The 17,394-nt window shown below is 37.9% G+C and overlaps 1 long non-coding RNA gene across 7 annotated transcripts in view; it reads right to left on the bottom strand.

Moving 5' to 3' along the window:
• Window positions 1-17,394, bottom strand: part of LOC105375716 (uncharacterized) — a 436,284-nt gene that overhangs the window by 382,363 nt on the left and 36,527 nt on the right. The gene's annotated exons all lie outside the window — the stretch shown is intronic.

The following is a 17,394-nucleotide window of genomic DNA, read 5'->3' on the forward strand; positions in this document are numbered from 1 at the left end:
GGTTTTCTTGTGCCTCTGGCATCTGTGTCCCTGCCCAACTGCCTCTGTGCTTTCTCCACACTGTGGTAATATCCTTAAATTCTTTCTACCTTCTGGACGCTTACTATAAGCATTCAGTAATGCTACAGTCTCTCTGTTTTAGAAAAATCAACGTAACAACAATTATATCCTCCCTGAATCATGTATGCCTCTCAAGCTACTGACCCTTCCCTCTATCCCTCTAATAGCAACTTTTATCCAAAGAGTATTTGGGCAAGCAGCCTTTATTTCTACACTGTATTCACTGTCATGTGATTCCACTCTGGCTTCTGTTGCTACTACTCAACTAAGTGTGCTCTTCCTTAGGTCACAAATGATCTCCTCCCATGTTGTTAAGCCCAATGTACATTTTCCAATTCTCATCATAAATGATGCCTCAACTTCTGCCTGTTAGAAATATTCTCTTTCCTGAAATTCCACAATGATATGCTCTCCTGACTTTTATCCTCCCTTCCCAACCACTCCATATTAGTCTCCTGCGGAAATTTCTCACACTCAGTCTCTCTTCTAAACATTGAAATTGTTGAGGTTAGATCTTAGGCCTCTTGTGTCTTCACTTTTGCTCATGATCCCTTACTTTTGTCTTACTTCACTCTCAATCATCATCTCCATCACTCTCACGGCTTCAAAGACCATTTAATTTACTTGTGTTTCCTTCCAAGACCTTCTTCTGAGTACTAGATACATACAACCAACTTCTCATTCTAGATATTCACTGGTCTTATAAATATCTCAAATTGAAAGTGCTGCAACCTGAACTCATTTTCTTTCTAAACAACCTCCTCCATTCTAAATATACTCCTTCTTCATTGCAAAACACAATTCACCCAGTTGCTCATCCCAGAAACCCAGGAGCCTTGCTTGACACCTTTCTGTTCCTTATCCCCACATCCAATCCAGCACGGAGTCCTACGAATTCTACCTCTTAATTGCATCTCATCTCTGTCCATTTCTCAGTATCTCTGCTCCCGTCACTCAAGATCAAGCCACTTTCATCTCCAAAAAACCTCCTAATAGTTCTAGCTCATTTATCATTTTCCTCTTCTAATTTATTTTCTCCTCAGAAGTCAGCATATGAAATTAAGGTAAATATCTCATTATTTCACTCCCCTACTTAAATCTTTAAAGATACTGTATGTCCTTTTTGAAGACCAAACTTTTTGATACGATTCTTGAAGCCCTAAACAGTTCAACCTACTAAACTGACAAAGGGCATTTGTTTTTGTATATGAAACAGATAAAAATTATTTTCCTTCCATGTTAATAATTTTTTTTTTTTTTTTTTTTTTTTGAGACGGAGTCTTGCTCTGTTGCCCAGACTGGAGTGCAGTGGCGCAATTTCGGCTCACTGCAAGCTCCGCCTCCCGGGTTCACACCATTCTCCTGCCTCAGCCTCCTGAGTAGCTGGGACTATAGGCGCCAGCCACCACACCCGGCTAATTTTTTGTATGTTTAGTAGAGACGGGGTTTCACTGTGTTAGCTAGGATGGTCTTGATCTCCTGACCTCGTATTTCACCCGCCTCGGCCTCCCAAAGTGCTGGGATTACAGGCGTGAGCCACCGCGGCCTGCCATGTTAAGAATTTTTAAATTCATAGGGAAGTAACCAAATGCATACACATTGTCATTCATATGCACGCATGTGAGCACACACATACACACACACCACAACTTGAATCTAACCCCTGTACAATTCATAGTTTTTATTGATTATTTGTCTTTATTTTAGGTTTTAACATGCATTTGAGTAAAGTCTCAAAAACTCTCACCCAAAAAAGTCCAAAGTACCTGGATAGGCCATGATGGCAAAGAACATTAAGGGATTCCTTCTTCTTCCCTCTCTTCTTCCCTCCTCACTTCTGTTTCTCTCACAAAAACCATACTGTGCGACATGAGACAAATGAGCCCCTCCAGAAGTTATTACAGAAATTGTCTGGGCTCCACTTTTCCTTGATATACAGATCAATCTAGGGGAAAAAATGTCCTTTGCATCTTCACCAATAGAATCTTGATCAAAGGAGCCACATCTACTAAAACAAACATGTGTAAAAGGTTGCCCTGAATTTGTGCTATTTTTCTTGTTTGTCTATGTGTCTGATGAGACACACATAAATTCCCCTTTTGCCCCTTTCCACAACATTATCCTGTCTGTCTAAAATAAATACTGTGATAGTTGGATCATCCACTGAATGCCAGTCTCTGTCTTTTGTAGCTGACTGTTGGACAGAACAACCACTCTCTTGCTCACCTTTTAATGTTTCTCAGCAATCTTCTAGTCTCAGCAATCAGGTGTTTATGGTCCAGCTGGACAGAATGTATACCTATTTACTCAGATGTCTGGGAACAGGAAAGGGTCCACTTTATAAACAAGTCTTTGCATTGCCTTGCCTGGGGATATGTTTCTGCTGTATAAAATTTAAATAAATCACTTTCTGAAGAGTGGTAAACCACTGACACCATTTATCCCGCATGATGGTTCTTCCCAATGGGCCAGAAAGGTTTCAATTATCTTGGATAGGAACCACTTCAGAAGTGACATGATCTATATTAGGTTAGCTTTCATTGTCTATAGCCATCTTAATGGGGCCATGTCTCAGTGTAATAGAAAGAGAAAGTGGCTAGCATTAAAATGACTTGTTTGTGCAAACACCATCCCTAACAACTCCTGAGATCAACAGGCACAGAATTTGTCCTAGAACATCACTAATTAGACCAAGAGATACACATTACAATGCACTGTGCATGCAAGCACACACAAACGCATGCACAAACATGCAAGCATTTTCCCATTATGGCAAAAATTCATGAGCACTGTCACTATATCAGATAATACTGATATGACTAATAACAAGAAACTATTGGCTGGGCATGGTGGTTCATACCTGTAATCCCAACACTTTGGGAGGCTGAGGCAGGAGGATCACTTGAAGCCAGGAATTTGAGAACAGCTTGGATAATAAAACAAGACCTCCATCTCTACAAAAAATAAAAATTAGCTGGGTGCAGTGGCATGCACTTGTAGTCCCAGCTACTTGGAAGTCTGAGGTGGGAATACTGCTTGAGCCCAGAAGTTTGAGGCTACAGTGAGCTAGAATGATTCCACTGAACTACAGCCTGGGTAACAGAGTAAGATCCTATCTCAAAAAAAGAAAAATAAAAGCAGAAAAGAAACTATTTCATTTTATAGTAAGTGTCATCACATTTAGTTAGAGATTGTTGGGTAGTGAGCAGATTACTTTCTAATGATGGGCAAGAGAAAGTTAAAGAAAGCTCCAGGTGAAGTGGTGGATGGGAGCATTAAAGAAGAGCCAGAAAGAATAATGTCCAGAGTTAAAAACAGACTGACAAATTAATAAGGGGGAGTTAGAATGCAGCGGTAACCACAATAGAACATATTTACTTAACAAGATGTCTAGCTATAGATGAAGTTTAAAAATAGGAAGGAAGGACTCACATTGTCTATTTAATTTGAAATTATGTAATATTGGGGAATCCCAACTGTAAGCATATGCAATCTAATTGATGTGCCTTATAGAGTCTAGGTGAAACTGACATTTTAATTACCTGATTGTAAGAAATGTGATGGGTATGATAATATTGTTGTCTTGATCTTATGAATGGTGTACCCACTGAACTCTGGGGTTACTCTTGAGCTACTAATATTAGTCATGCACATGTAATAAACAAAGAAGAGCGAACTCGGAGGATACACAGGAGCATGGCTTTACATGGGCTATCAGCCAGAAAACCCCTCCTGAAGACCAACATAGATGAGGTATCCTGCTGAACTGCCTCTAGAATAGAGAGGCTTGGAAAAACTCAATCAGGGGAGTCACAGTTTAAGCAAAGGTGAGAGTTTTAAGTCAGCAGGTAAAGTAAAAAGCATATGTAGACAAAATTACTCGAGAAAATCTCTTTCTTATGAATATCAAAATTAGAAAATGACTGATCTACATTAAAGAAAGAAAGAACTCTCAATCCAGATGTCGAGGATGAAAGACATCTTGTTTTAAGATAATTATGAAATACCTTGTGGTAAATGAGAGATCAGGGAAAATTTTAAAATATTCCACTTTCCTAAATGGTTTGCCCCTTCTGTTTTAAAAGTAAGTCTCTACGACTTTAATGTATGAGAGTAGATCTGTGAATTTGTTTGTTGCTATGAGGACTTGGGTAGGGGGGTTGCACGTTAAATGCAAGTAAGAGGGGACTCCACTGGATGGCAAGATTGACTTAATATCCCCTATTTCTCCAATGGATACAATCATGGTCCCCAAAGGACCATGAGGAAACCATTTGTGATTCACTTTATTCCTTCCATGATTTTTTGCTCTGTATTGTTTGAGTCAAAAAGAACAAACAAACAAATTACAAAATTAAAGACAGTAGACTTATCCCCACTACTGGAGAGAAAGCTTCTGGTTCCAGAAGCCTTGTTTACCTATTTCCTCAGTGAAGAGGACATTCAGAGTCACATAGGGCTTCTTAAGTGCTTTCTCTTCTTCCCATCTGCTTCTGGAATCCCCTCTCCCCCACCCCACTCCACACACACACACTTTAGATGATGGGAGCAAGGGCCAATTTCATGGTTCTAAGGAGTCAAATGATGTCTTTCTTGTCCTTAAATGAATCCACATTGGTTGCTGTGTAGACATTAACCAATGAATTGAGTAAATGCTATGTGATGATGATGGTGATCATGTTCTCACTTGCAAGAGTTCATTCAGAGCACCATTCCCTCATAAAACTCAAGGAGGGATATCAGTTCCAGATGTTAAGTTATAATCATGGGCTTATATATCATGACATCTCAGATTGAATTTTTTCTCTTTGTCATCGTTAAATTTGCCATTTAAGAAGAGATCAATATTCCCCAATTAACTTTCAATAAGGAAAAGAACGTTTTTATAAACAATTGTTTCTCTCCATCATTAATTTAATGGAAATAGTGCAATTATGGTAAGAGAGGAAATTGCAATCACAAACTCTTCTCTGCTACTCACTCTTCCTGTGTTTAAAAATAAAAATTATTCTTCCAGCAAATGTTCTCTACAAAAATATAAGTTGCAGGATAGGATTATTTCATGACTTCAAATAAGTTTTCTTATTCCAAGAAAACACTTTCCAAAGTTCCCAAAACTTTAACTGAGCTACAAGATATATAAGCAGTTTAGATATGACCAAGACAGTGTCTTCCCTCCCAGCTAACCTTTTATTAAAAACCACACACTTTATTTCAACATTCTGAGCAGATCCTAGACAACTCTGTGCATACAAGTCCCAGAGCAGACATAAAAACCAGATGGGAAAGAGATTTACAAGAACCAATCTCAAAAGAATATTTGCAAGCAGAATGTCAACTCAACACTGATTTCGGCAATGTATTTTGATTTACAATACAGATGTCTTTTCAGAATTTTCATTTCTCCTTATATATGAACAAAGTGCAAGGAGGATATAGTCCCAGCTGCTCCCTTCAAATGTTCCAGCCCTAAACAAATAGAAAAAATTTTATCATTTACTTTTATCTTCTGTGAAGTTCAGACATTTTAGTAGACTTTATAGGCAAATTGTTAAATCAAGCAGTTGCCCTTATACTTAAGAACATTTTCCTGAGGATACAACTTTGTCGCATCTCAAGGATCTCAACAAGGCAGAGAGAATGAAAGTATTTTTTGTCAATCTCTCATTATACAACAACAATATATTGAGATTCTTTATGATGGTGACAAAGGGCAGTGTGCTGGGTACTGAAGATATAAAAAAATACCTTCAAGTAGTTCATAGTCTCCTTGAAAAAGAGGTTAATAAATGCAATGTGTTGTAGAATATACAAAGAATTAATTGAACATTGGGAAGGAACTACATCACTCTACTGGGAAAAACAAGATAAGAAGGAAAAAATGGAGGCTACAAGATCAAGCTGTCACAAACATGCAAATAAAATGAAGATTGAACCTCTAAGGATAGATCATTTGCTTCTCATCTTCTTTGGTCATAGGAAACAAAATAAATTCTGAAAGAATTAAATATCAGAATCATCAGCAAACATTTACTAGACCAATTATATAATGATTTCCAGTTGATAAAGAATACCCACTCCATGGAAGATCTGAAATATACTTTGGTAATCCATGTGCAAAATGCCTCTGAATTTTTTAGCATTTGAAAAATTGCAATATTTAATTTGAACATTCTTCCAGGGAGCTTGATGTTTCTACCATACGTAAGTATAACGAGTACTTTCATCCAAGATTTATTGAGCTCCTACTGATGTGATTGGAATTGTGACATTGGGGAAAAGAGAAACGTGGTAGAAAGTCAATAATAGGGAAACTGAACGTAAAGAATATGTGTATATTCACACAGCACTATGACCACACAACCTGTTATTTTTGGAGGACTGTATGTATCAGTTGGTTTATGTTGATTTTGATAATGCAACTTACGCAAAAATACTCAAATTTTACTGACCCTATCAATCTATGTTAAGTTAGAAAGATTTGCTGACTCAAAAAATAAATCTACAATAAACCTTCCAAGATAAAATTTCTTTTTTTCTCCTTTCTTTTCAAATGGAAAAGAACAGGATTTAGGGAACAACATCAACTTTTAAAAATCCTTAGTAGGCTGTCTACTATGTGAAGAGATAATGCTCTCTATTGGGCCAAATGTTATTCAGTTAGCCATCTCTCTCTATTAACCAATACTTGTACATCTTTTGGTATGCAGTGTATCTCTGAAGTAATGGTATTAATTCCACATACCACCCTCACTGACAAATTTTACCAGAAAGCTCAGCTGGTCACTCTGAAAGACCTATCTCACTGTTTCATGGCCATTATTTTCATCACAATAGTTTTTATGGTTTGCAAAGTACTTTCACATTCATTATTTTATTTAATCTTTGAAGCAACACTTTGAGGTAAGTAAAGTGTTAATAGGCCCATTTTTAGATTAAGAAAACATTTCCAAAGTGCTTATGTAACTTAGTAAACGTTACACAGCTAGTAATGAATATTCATAATGGTGAACTATAGACCTCACAAGAATGGTTGAACATGACCTCTATCACTTGTGTTAATTATCTGGTCTTCTTTTATTCCAATTCATTGAAAATATGCAATTCAACTATGATAAAAGGGGTCACCCAGGATTAGCCAAAATACTTTATTAACTTAAATGCCCTAAAAAAATATTAAATATGATGTTTCCGTTTTTTAGAAATGCAGCACAAACTGATAAACTTCTTAAAGAAAGCAGAATAACCCTGGGGTAGAGTTTTTGGGGTGTAAATTTCCAACCTTTCCTTGAAAGCAATAATTCATCAAAATGTGCATTTGAAGAAAAACTGGGCTAAGACCTTGAAGGCATATGATTACAGTCAGTTTATGTTCTAAGCTTCCAAGAACATATTCTGTGCAGCTGATGTGATTCAAGAATGACAGGAGGAACTGTATATGTTTTTGTTTGTTTGTTTGTTTCTCTCCAGTTCAGCCTCCTTGGATTGATAAATGGGCTTAGGTGCATCTTTCCTGAAGGACATTATTTAATGTTTTGTTAGTTTAATCTCCCAGTACTGGTGGGGTCCAGGAAGGGGAGCTTCTTGAAGGAAGGTAAATAGTAGGCAAAAAGAGTTTTAAAGCTCAGACTCCAGTGGAGGGAGCTCTAACTCAAGTGCTAACTTGCCTTAAAAGAAATACACTGAAAGCTGTAAGGAAATCCCAGACTTCAACTACCTGCACTTACGAAAAATACAAAGCACCAACCTATAAGAGCACTTCTAGGACTATGTTTATACATTGTTCAATACAGTACGAGTTTACTAAAATGAAAAGGAGAGTTTGAAGAGCAAAAAATATTTCTCTCTCCTTTTTTGCCTCAACTAAGTATTATTTGGCACACTGTGTTACTGTTTTCTAAATTGGATCACATGACTAATATATCAATTCCACAAATATTTTTTATTACAAGTGCACTAAAAAATTAACTCAATTATCATGATCACTAAAACAAAATTTTGTATTAAAAGGTCTCTTTTGCTTTGATTGTCTTCATAATCACAAGTAAAAATGTTACCATGGTCTATTTGAATTTTTAAGGTTTGTCTAGAAACAGTTTCACTACTATACTGCTAGAAAATATTTCAGTCTATTGGAAGTCAAAAACTTTCAAGATATTCTAAAACATCTGCAAAGAATAACATTTTTCTCCAAGAAACTCAAAAGTCCTTTACAGGCAATGTAGTACTTATACAGGTAAAAGCTCATTGGAACGAATTCCCCAAGACATCAACTTGCTTGTAGTGGATCTGTGTAGTAACGAAGGCATTGATAGAAATGACTACACCAGTCTTCTGGAGGAGGGAATGAAACTGACACTCTGTAGCAAACTAACAAGTTGGAGAAAAAAATTAGCACTGAATCAAGCAGGGACAAAATGAAATTCGTTATGCACACAACCTCACTGTGAGTCCTCTCCTCCCAAGCCCTAGTTTAGTTAGGTAAATGTTTTGGATGAAGACAACTGAGGCAAGATGGGGAAGGAATGACAAAAGGCAAAAGGCTAAATTATTTTCTTGATAGTACCCAGCATCGTTTAGTCTGTCTTGCACACGGGATCTTACCAAAGTTTCTATAAAAATTTCTCTTGCTAAGTTATTCTTTAAAAATCAAACAAACAAACAAAAACAGAAACTGATGGCTGTCTAGTGCCTTCAAGAGGATGAACATATTCTTGAGGGGTGCGCTGCAGGTTCTCAATTCTGACTTTGGCCTGTTCACCTGCCTCTTTCATGTCTTGTTTTCCTTCCTCACTCCATGCACTTTCTGCCCAGACCAGATTGTTGCCCAAGTGGCTAAAACCAGGACCTGCTACAGACCCCTCCCCTACTCTAGGTCTTGTTTGGAGTGGTAATCTTTTTTGTCACCTGCTATAAGAGCCAGGGGCATTGCCTCCAGACCTCAAAGTGGCTGACCAGGCATTGTGCTTCTTTCTTTATGGTAGAAGGTAAATGCAACCATTTACTTGAAAGAAAATGACACAACACATCCTTAGGCTCTGGACCTCTAAAATCTTCAGCGAATGGCAGGTCCCTGAGTCTTCAAAGGATTTTCTCCTATGCTCAGGAGGGCTAGTCCCCTTCCAAGGCCTCCAGTGTGCTGGGTTCCCTCTAGCTCATTCCCTCTGATCAAATGACATCATCAACATAAAAGATCAATGTGATGTTCTGTAGAATATCTGTGTGATCCACAGCTCTTCTGACGATAAGATGACAGGGGGTGAGAAAGCTTTTTCTTGGGGGCAAAATGATAACATAGCTTTTGGTTTTTGCATATGAAGAACTGTTTCTGATCTTCTTTTCCGATTGAAACAGAAAATAAAATATATTCACCAAATCAATGGTTCCATATCATGTACCTGAGTCCTTATTAATCTGCTGTAGCAATAAACCACATCATGCATAGCAGCTATGATCAACGCTACAACTTGATTGATATTGTGGTTGTCTGTAGTGATTTTCCAGGATCCATCTGGTTTCTGCATGGCACAAATTGGATTAAATTGAGATATGATAGGGACCACTACCATTGAATCCTTTAAGATTAATATTTCTAACATTTTCCCCCATACGCACCTATTGGATGTGATACTGATTTTGATTTATGATCCTGGCCAAGGCATAGGGCAGACAATTTCAGAAGTTTTCACTTGACATCCTCAACAGGATAGCTATTATCCCATAGGACCAGGATGCAACATAGGAGTTGCTCCAAAAGTCAAGTACATCTAATCCCAGTTATACTTTTAGGAATTGAGGAAATGATTATTGGGTGTGTCTGCAGACCCATTGGACTCACCACAGTCAGAATTTGGCCAGGACCCTTTTTATCATCTGCCTCCCTTATACCCCATTCTGACAGAGGAGGCGTAAAGATGTTTCAGATTACTAGGTAGAAGTGTCAGTACAGACCCTATGGCCATCTGTCTTCTGAATATTTGGGTATTACCTTTTTCCAGTACACAGTCACTTGATCAGGCCGTTGGCTCTTTTGGAGAAGGATTGAGAGGAACTTTACAGTGTGTAATAAGGTCCTTCCCCTGAGATCCTCACTCTCTTGAGTCAGTGGATCCCAGTCTGAAAACTGGCTTGAGTCCAAAAACTGGGCAAGGGAATGTGGCTTTATTTGAACAATAGGCTTCAGTGTTGTCAAACAATATCAATTATCGTTTTCTATTGATTAGGTTGGAAGTCCATCTATTTTACCCAAAGGGATAGACCATGTTATATTAAACCATCTCCATAGTTCTCTGCAGGTCAGGCTTCCTTGGCTATTACTCTGATCTTGTCTGTTCTTATGAAAATAATAATCTCCTAGCTTTTGGTGTTAAAATCTGTTTACTTGTCTCTATTGCTTTAGGGTCCTAGTATCCCCATTGCTGTTAGTGAGCCAAGTTCTCTGGTGGTTCTTCTACCTCCAGCCTTGGTCTACAGAAGAGAACAAGCAGTGAACTCCATAGTGAGGCTCATGTGCCTCTTAACAGTGTTTTCTTGATGGTCTGGGTTAAAGTATGATTTGGGGGACTTTCCTAGGTAATGTAAGTATTTCAGCCTCACTCATTGTGGGCCACAGCTTTATCCAGGCCCCAGGACCCACCCTAGATGCAAGTTTGAAACATCCTCTGAACCCTGTTCCAGGATATTGAATCTTATACCCCAAAATAGTGCCCCCAAGCCAATAAATTCTTCAATAACCAGTCATAGGTCCAGGCCCCCTTGATTGTGCATCCTCAGCCTTCAGAATATGGGTCCTGCTGCTCCATACGGCTAGGTCTTGTAGCTCCTTTGGCCAGGTCCTTGTAGTCCAAGTCCTCCCTTATCAGATGCTGCTCAACCCTGGCTGGGTTATGCTTCCACTTAACTCTGATTATAGGCCAGGAGGCAGGAAGGCAGTGGGGGCAGCTTCTGAGGTGAGACGCCTGTTGTCTTGTATTCTGGCTTTGGGGCGTGGGACACTAGCTCTCAGGGGTGGAGTGAGCAACTTCTGCAGGCTCAGAAGATCAGATAAGTCTGGGAAATAAAATCTTTGGACCAAATGTCTCCATCCCATGTGTCAGGGTCCCTAAGTTTTTCCAGCTAGAGTCTTGACTTTGACAGATCTTCCTCATTTGGACATTCAACTATTCAGCCACTCTGACTATCAAATCCTGTGCTTAATCTTCAGCTTTTTCTGCTCCTTCACTGCATAAGATAAGGGCTTCTTTATAAGTTAGTACAGTAATTCAATGCAACTTAGTAATAACCACCCAATTGCATTATTTTGATCTTTATTATTCCTCAGTACATTTCAAACCCTGGACCATTGCATCTACCAGTACACACCCTTTCTCCGGGACATCATCCCAGCTCACCATGGGAGAACATTTTAACAATTGAACAACCACTTTGTGCTAGGGGCTTTCTATGAGGGATGGAATCCTCATAATCAGACAATCAGTGAGTGGTCAAGTTCTAAAATATAAACTTATCATTCCTGGTACCAAGTGGGCCATTTTAGACTCTCTAGGAGGGGAGGCTGAGATGGAATTTGGAATACAAGGAGTTTCTTGGGGAGTAACTCCTGTAAAAGGAAAAGGAAAGGAGAAGGATGGGGCAGTGGGTGGGGTTAGACTGTGATGCAGATCTCACAAATTTCTACCCACCAAAGGACAACTCCAGATCAAAGATTGCTCTTCAGAGGAGGCCTGCATTGGATGGAAATGGCCAGGCCCTTGTATGACCACCTGGTTTAGTTGTTCATCAGAGACTGACCTAAAAATAGTAAGACCTTGATTCAAAAGACTGGGTTGGATCACAATGAAGCAAACAGTTGAAGACTGTTGTCTAAGCGCACCCTTTGTAGCTGGGCAGGGAATCCTTCTTGAAAGGGTATCTGAAACTACTTTAAAGTTCATATGGAACCAAAAAAGAGCCCACATTGCCAAGTCAATCCTAAGCCAAAAGAACAAAGCTGGAGGCATCACACTACCTGACTTCAAACTATACTACAAGGCTATAGTAACCAAAACAGCATGGTACTGGTACCAAAACAGAGATATAGACCAATGGAACAGAACAGAGCCCTCAGAAATAATGCCGCATATCTACAACTATCTGATCTTTGACAAACCTGAGAAAAACAAGAAATGGGGAAAGGATTCCCTATTTAATAAATGGTGCTGGGAAAACTGGCTAGCCATATGTAGAAAGCTGAAACTGGATCCCTTCCTTACACCTTATACAAAAATTAATTCAAGATGGAATAAAGACTTAAATGTTAGACCTAAAACCATAAAAACCCTAGAAGAAAACCTAGGCAATACCATTCAGGACATAGGCATGGGCAAGGACTTCATGTCTAAAACACCAAAAGCAATGGCAACAAAAGCCAAAATTGACAAATGGGATCTAATTAAACTAAAGAGCTTCTGCACAGCAAAAGAAACTACCATCAGAGTAAACAGGCAACCTACAGAATGGGAGAAAATTTCTGCAACCTACTCATATGACAAAGGGCTAATATCCAGAATCTACAATGAACTCAAACAAATTTACAGGAAAAAAACAAACAACCCCATCAACAAGTGGGTGAAGGATATGAATAGACACTTCTCAAAAGAAGACATTTATGCAGCCAAAAGACACATGAAAAGATGCTCATCATCACTGGCCATCAGAGAAATGCAAATCAAAACCACAATGAGATACCATCTCACACCAGTTAGAATGACGATCATTAAAAAGTAAGGAAACAACAAGTGCTGGAGAGGATATGGAGAAATAGGAACACTTTTACACTGTTGGTGGGAATGTAAACTAGTTCAACCATTGTGGAAGTCAGTGTGGTGATTCCTCAGGCATCTAGAACTAGAAATACCATTTGACCCAGCCATCCCATTCCTGGGTATATACCCAAAGGATTATAAATCATGCTGCTATAAAGACACATGCACACGTATGTTTATTGTGGCACTATTCGCAATAGCAAAGACTTGGAACGAAGCCAAATGTCCAACAGTGATAGACTGGATTAAGAAAATGTGGCACATATATACCATGGAATACTATGCAGCCATAAAAAAGGATGAGTTCATGTCCTTTGTAGGGACATGGATGAAGCTGGAAACCATCATTCTCAGCAAACTATCGCAAGGACAAAAAACCAAACACCACATGTTCTCACTCATAGGTGGGAATTGAACAGTGAGAACACATGGACACAGGAAGGGGAACATCACACGTTGGAGACTGTTGTGGTGAAGGGGGAGGTGGGAGGGATAGTGTTAGGAGATATACCTAATGCTTAATGACGAGTTAATGGGTGCAGCACACCAACATGGCACATGTATACGTATGTAACAAACCTGCACGTTGTGCACATGTACCCTAAAACTTAAAGTATAATATTAATAAAATAAAATTTAAAAAAAGAAGAAAAAAAGAAAGGGTATCTGAGTAATGGATCTCCATATCTGCTACACCTAGGCTCTCTCATACAAATGCCTTGGGAGGTGGATGGACTAAGCTCTAAATCACAAGATATTTATTGAACTGTATTTTGAGTAGATTAACAAAAAACTTTGACTTTTTGGTCAAAAGAATCTCACTCAATAACTATTTTAAAATGGAGATGTAGGCCAGGTATGGTGGCTCATGCCTGTAATCCCAGCAATTTGGGAGGCTGAGGCAGGTGGATCATTTGAGGCCAGGAGTTGGAGACCAGGCTGGCCAACATGGCAAAACCCCATCTCTACTAAAAATACAAAAATTAGCTGAGCATGGTGGCATGCACCTGTAATCCCAGCTACTCGGGAGGCTGAGGCAGAAGAATCACTTGAACACAGGAGGCGGAGGTTGTAGTGAGCCAAGATCACACCACTGCACTCTGGCCTGGGTGACAGTGAGACTCCACCTCAAAAAATAAAAATAAAAAATAAAATGGAATGGGAGGAAAAGGTTGGACTACTTAATTATAAGGCAGCGTGTCTCAGCAGGGCTTCTGTGGAATCCTAGGACTCTCAAATTTGTGGCTAGGGGTTCCAAGACAGAGTATGATTGAAAAAGAAAAAAGAAAACAACTTAACGTGCCACACAATGCTAGTGCTTACAGAGGTAAACAGTGACTGAGAAGTCCATTTAGCTATTTTGAGAGAGGCTCTTCAGTTCTGTATACCAGTAGGACCATGTTCATTTGATTAAGTCGATTTTCGGTTTTTGATGTGGATGTGGAAAGAAGAAGGTCATTGATCATTTGTGAGTGCTTTATTACACAATAAAGAGGACAGGAGGCTTATGATATCAGCTTAACTACTTCAACCTCCCATCATGCACCACCAACTGATTTATGAGAAATATGTTTCCAAAAAAAAAATTATGTGCCATAGTTGAGCTGCTTTTGCCACTTTGCTGTTGTTGTGAAAGTTGCAAAATGAGGGTTGTACAAATTCACACTAAATTGTGCTTGAAGTTTTCATATTTGGGAGAGTTTGTTGTTCAGTTATTTTTTATGCCTTTATGATTTTTATGTTTTTGAACGTTTTAAGACTTGTTTTGTGAACTGACATACGGACTAGCCTTGAGAATGATCCATGTGCTGAGGAGAAGGAATGTGTATTTTGCAGCTGTTGGATGAAATGTTCTGTAAATGTCTATTAGGTTCATTTTGCCTACAGTATCTCTGTTTAATTCTAATATTATTTGCTTTATATATCTGGGTGCTCCAGTGTTGGGTGCATATATATTTACAATTGTTATATCCTCTTGCTGAACTGACCCCCTTTATCATGTTCTCTTACGTTTTATACACTGTTAATGTTCGTGTTTTTAAAACATATTTGCTGATACAATGTGGGGAGTTTTTAAGGCAGGTATAAGATGGACAGAAAGATTCTAGGCCTAGACCTACAAACTCATCATAAAGACTACTCATGTCTACTTATAAAGAGTTACAATCTTCTAAGTCATTTATCTGCACTGGTGAGAAAGACACACACACACACAGTCTGGCATGACAATGAAAGATACTTGTCAATTATTTTAAATGGTCTGGTAATACAAGTTGTCCAATTTTTTGTGCATTATCTGTGGCCAAGAAGAGCTGAAGCAAAATTGAAAAGACACATCTACAAATCATATCCATTTGGCAAGTTAAAAGGAGAATTATTTCAAAGGGTTACTGGATAAACACCGTAAAAATTTTGTTAAGAATAATAAAATTCAGTGAAAGGACTCAGGAGCCTATTTAGTAGTAGAACTTACTGCCCCAAAAAAGTAGAAGTACCACAATTGATAAGAACCTAGTAATGTCAGTGAATAATACTCAAGTTAGTGAAATGCAAGGACAGATTTCGTATCAGAAGCTGAAAAGCCTCCACTATCACTACAACACAGCAACATATTAATGACATGGTCAATACTTTTCATATTGCAAATAATATTTGCAATTTCTATTTAAACATATAAAGCCTATCTTTAGAAAAAATTATTTTATACCAAAGTCAAAATTATTTTCTTACCTAAGTCAGTTATTTAACAGAAATTTATTATTTTTGCCTTCTGGGCTTTAAAAAACTATTAAAAGCAAAAAAGGAATTAATTTCAAAAAAGGTGAACTGAGCTTACTTACCTAATCCTTTGTTTTTATTTGAGAAAGTCTGGCAACAAACTTTTTTTGAGTTTTAAATAGGGATAAAAACTACATTTGTACATATCATCTACTACATTTCATAGCTTTTTAGCAACTGTGTGGTAGAAATTACTAATATTTTCAAATCTATTTGATTTATTTAGGGACTTTATGGTTTTTTAAAAATTTTTACTATGATTTTCAAATGTGAATTGAATATTACACTAGCAAATCAAAACTGTTACCACTTTAAAATAATATTTTATCTCGTGATAAATCAGAAATAGGACTTAATTTTTTGACTTACACTTTTTTAAAAAAGTGATGATTAAAACTGATGACTGGATATTATAAAAGTTTTAAGTTGTACATTTTTATTATACTTACTTTTGTTTTTATCTTTTTTTTAAATAATATCAACTTGTATTTTAGATTCAGGGGGTACATGTGCAGATTCGTTACCTGGGCATATTATGTGATGTCAAGGTTTCGAGTACAGATGAAACTGTCACCTAGGTACTGAACACAGTACTGAATAGGTAGCTTTTCAACCTTTGCCCCCTTGCCCTTACAGTCCCCAGTGTCTATTGTTGTCATCTTTATGTTCATAAGTATCCACTGTTTAGCTCCCACCTATCAGTGAGAACATGTCATATTTGGTTTTTTGTTCTTGTGTTAACTCGCTTAGGATAATGGCCTTCAACTATATCCATGTTGCTGCTCAGGACATGATTTCACTCTTTTTATGGTTGTGTAGTATTCCATGGTTTCTAGATACCACATTTTCCTTATCCATTCCACCACTGATGGGCACCTAGGTTGATTGCCAGTCTTTGCTACTGTGAATAGTGCTGTGATAAACACATAAGTGCATGTGTCTTTTTGGTAGAATGATTTATTTTCTTTTGGATATATACCCAGTTACGGAATGGCTGGGTCAAATGGTAGTTCTGTTTTAAGTTCTTTAAGAACTCTCCATGCTTCTTTCCATAGTGGTTTAAGTAATTTACATTCCCAACATCAGTGTATCAGTATTCCCTTTTCCCCATGGCCTTGCCAGTGTCTGAGTTTTTGGTTTTTGTTTTTGTTTTAGTTTTTGTTTTGACTTTGATAATAGCCATCTGACTGATGTGAGATGGTATCTTATTGTGGTTTTGATCTGCATTTATCTGGTGATTAATGATGTGTTTGTGTTTGTTGGCTGCTCATATGTCTTCTTTTGAGAAATGTCTGTTCATGTCCTGTGCCAATTTTTTTGAGGGGTTATTTATTTTTTGCTTGTTCAAAGATTTAAGTTCCTTATAGATTCAGGATATTAGACCTTCATTGGATGCATGGTTTGCCAATAGTTTCTCCCATTCTGTAGGTTGTCTGTTTATTGATTTTTTTCTGTGCAGAAGCTCTTTAATTAGTTTAATTAGGTCAAAATTAGTTTAACTTGTCAATTTTTGCTTTTTAGAACCTAGTCATAAATTCTTTCCCAAGGCTGATGTCCAGAATGGTGTTTCTTAGGTTTTCTTTCAGGATTCTTATAGTTTGAGGTCTTACATTTAAATATTTAATCCATCTGAAGTTCATTTTTGTATGTGGTGAAAGGTAGGGGTACAGTTTTACTCTTTTGCTTATGACTACTCAGCTATCCCTGCCCCATGTATTGAATAGTGAGTCCTTTTCCCATTGCCTTTTCTTTC

The sequence above is a fragment of the Homo sapiens genome, chromosome 8 (assembly GCF_000001405.40).
Source record: "Homo sapiens chromosome 8, GRCh38.p14 Primary Assembly".
Taxonomy (NCBI): domain Eukaryota; kingdom Metazoa; phylum Chordata; class Mammalia; order Primates; family Hominidae; genus Homo; species Homo sapiens.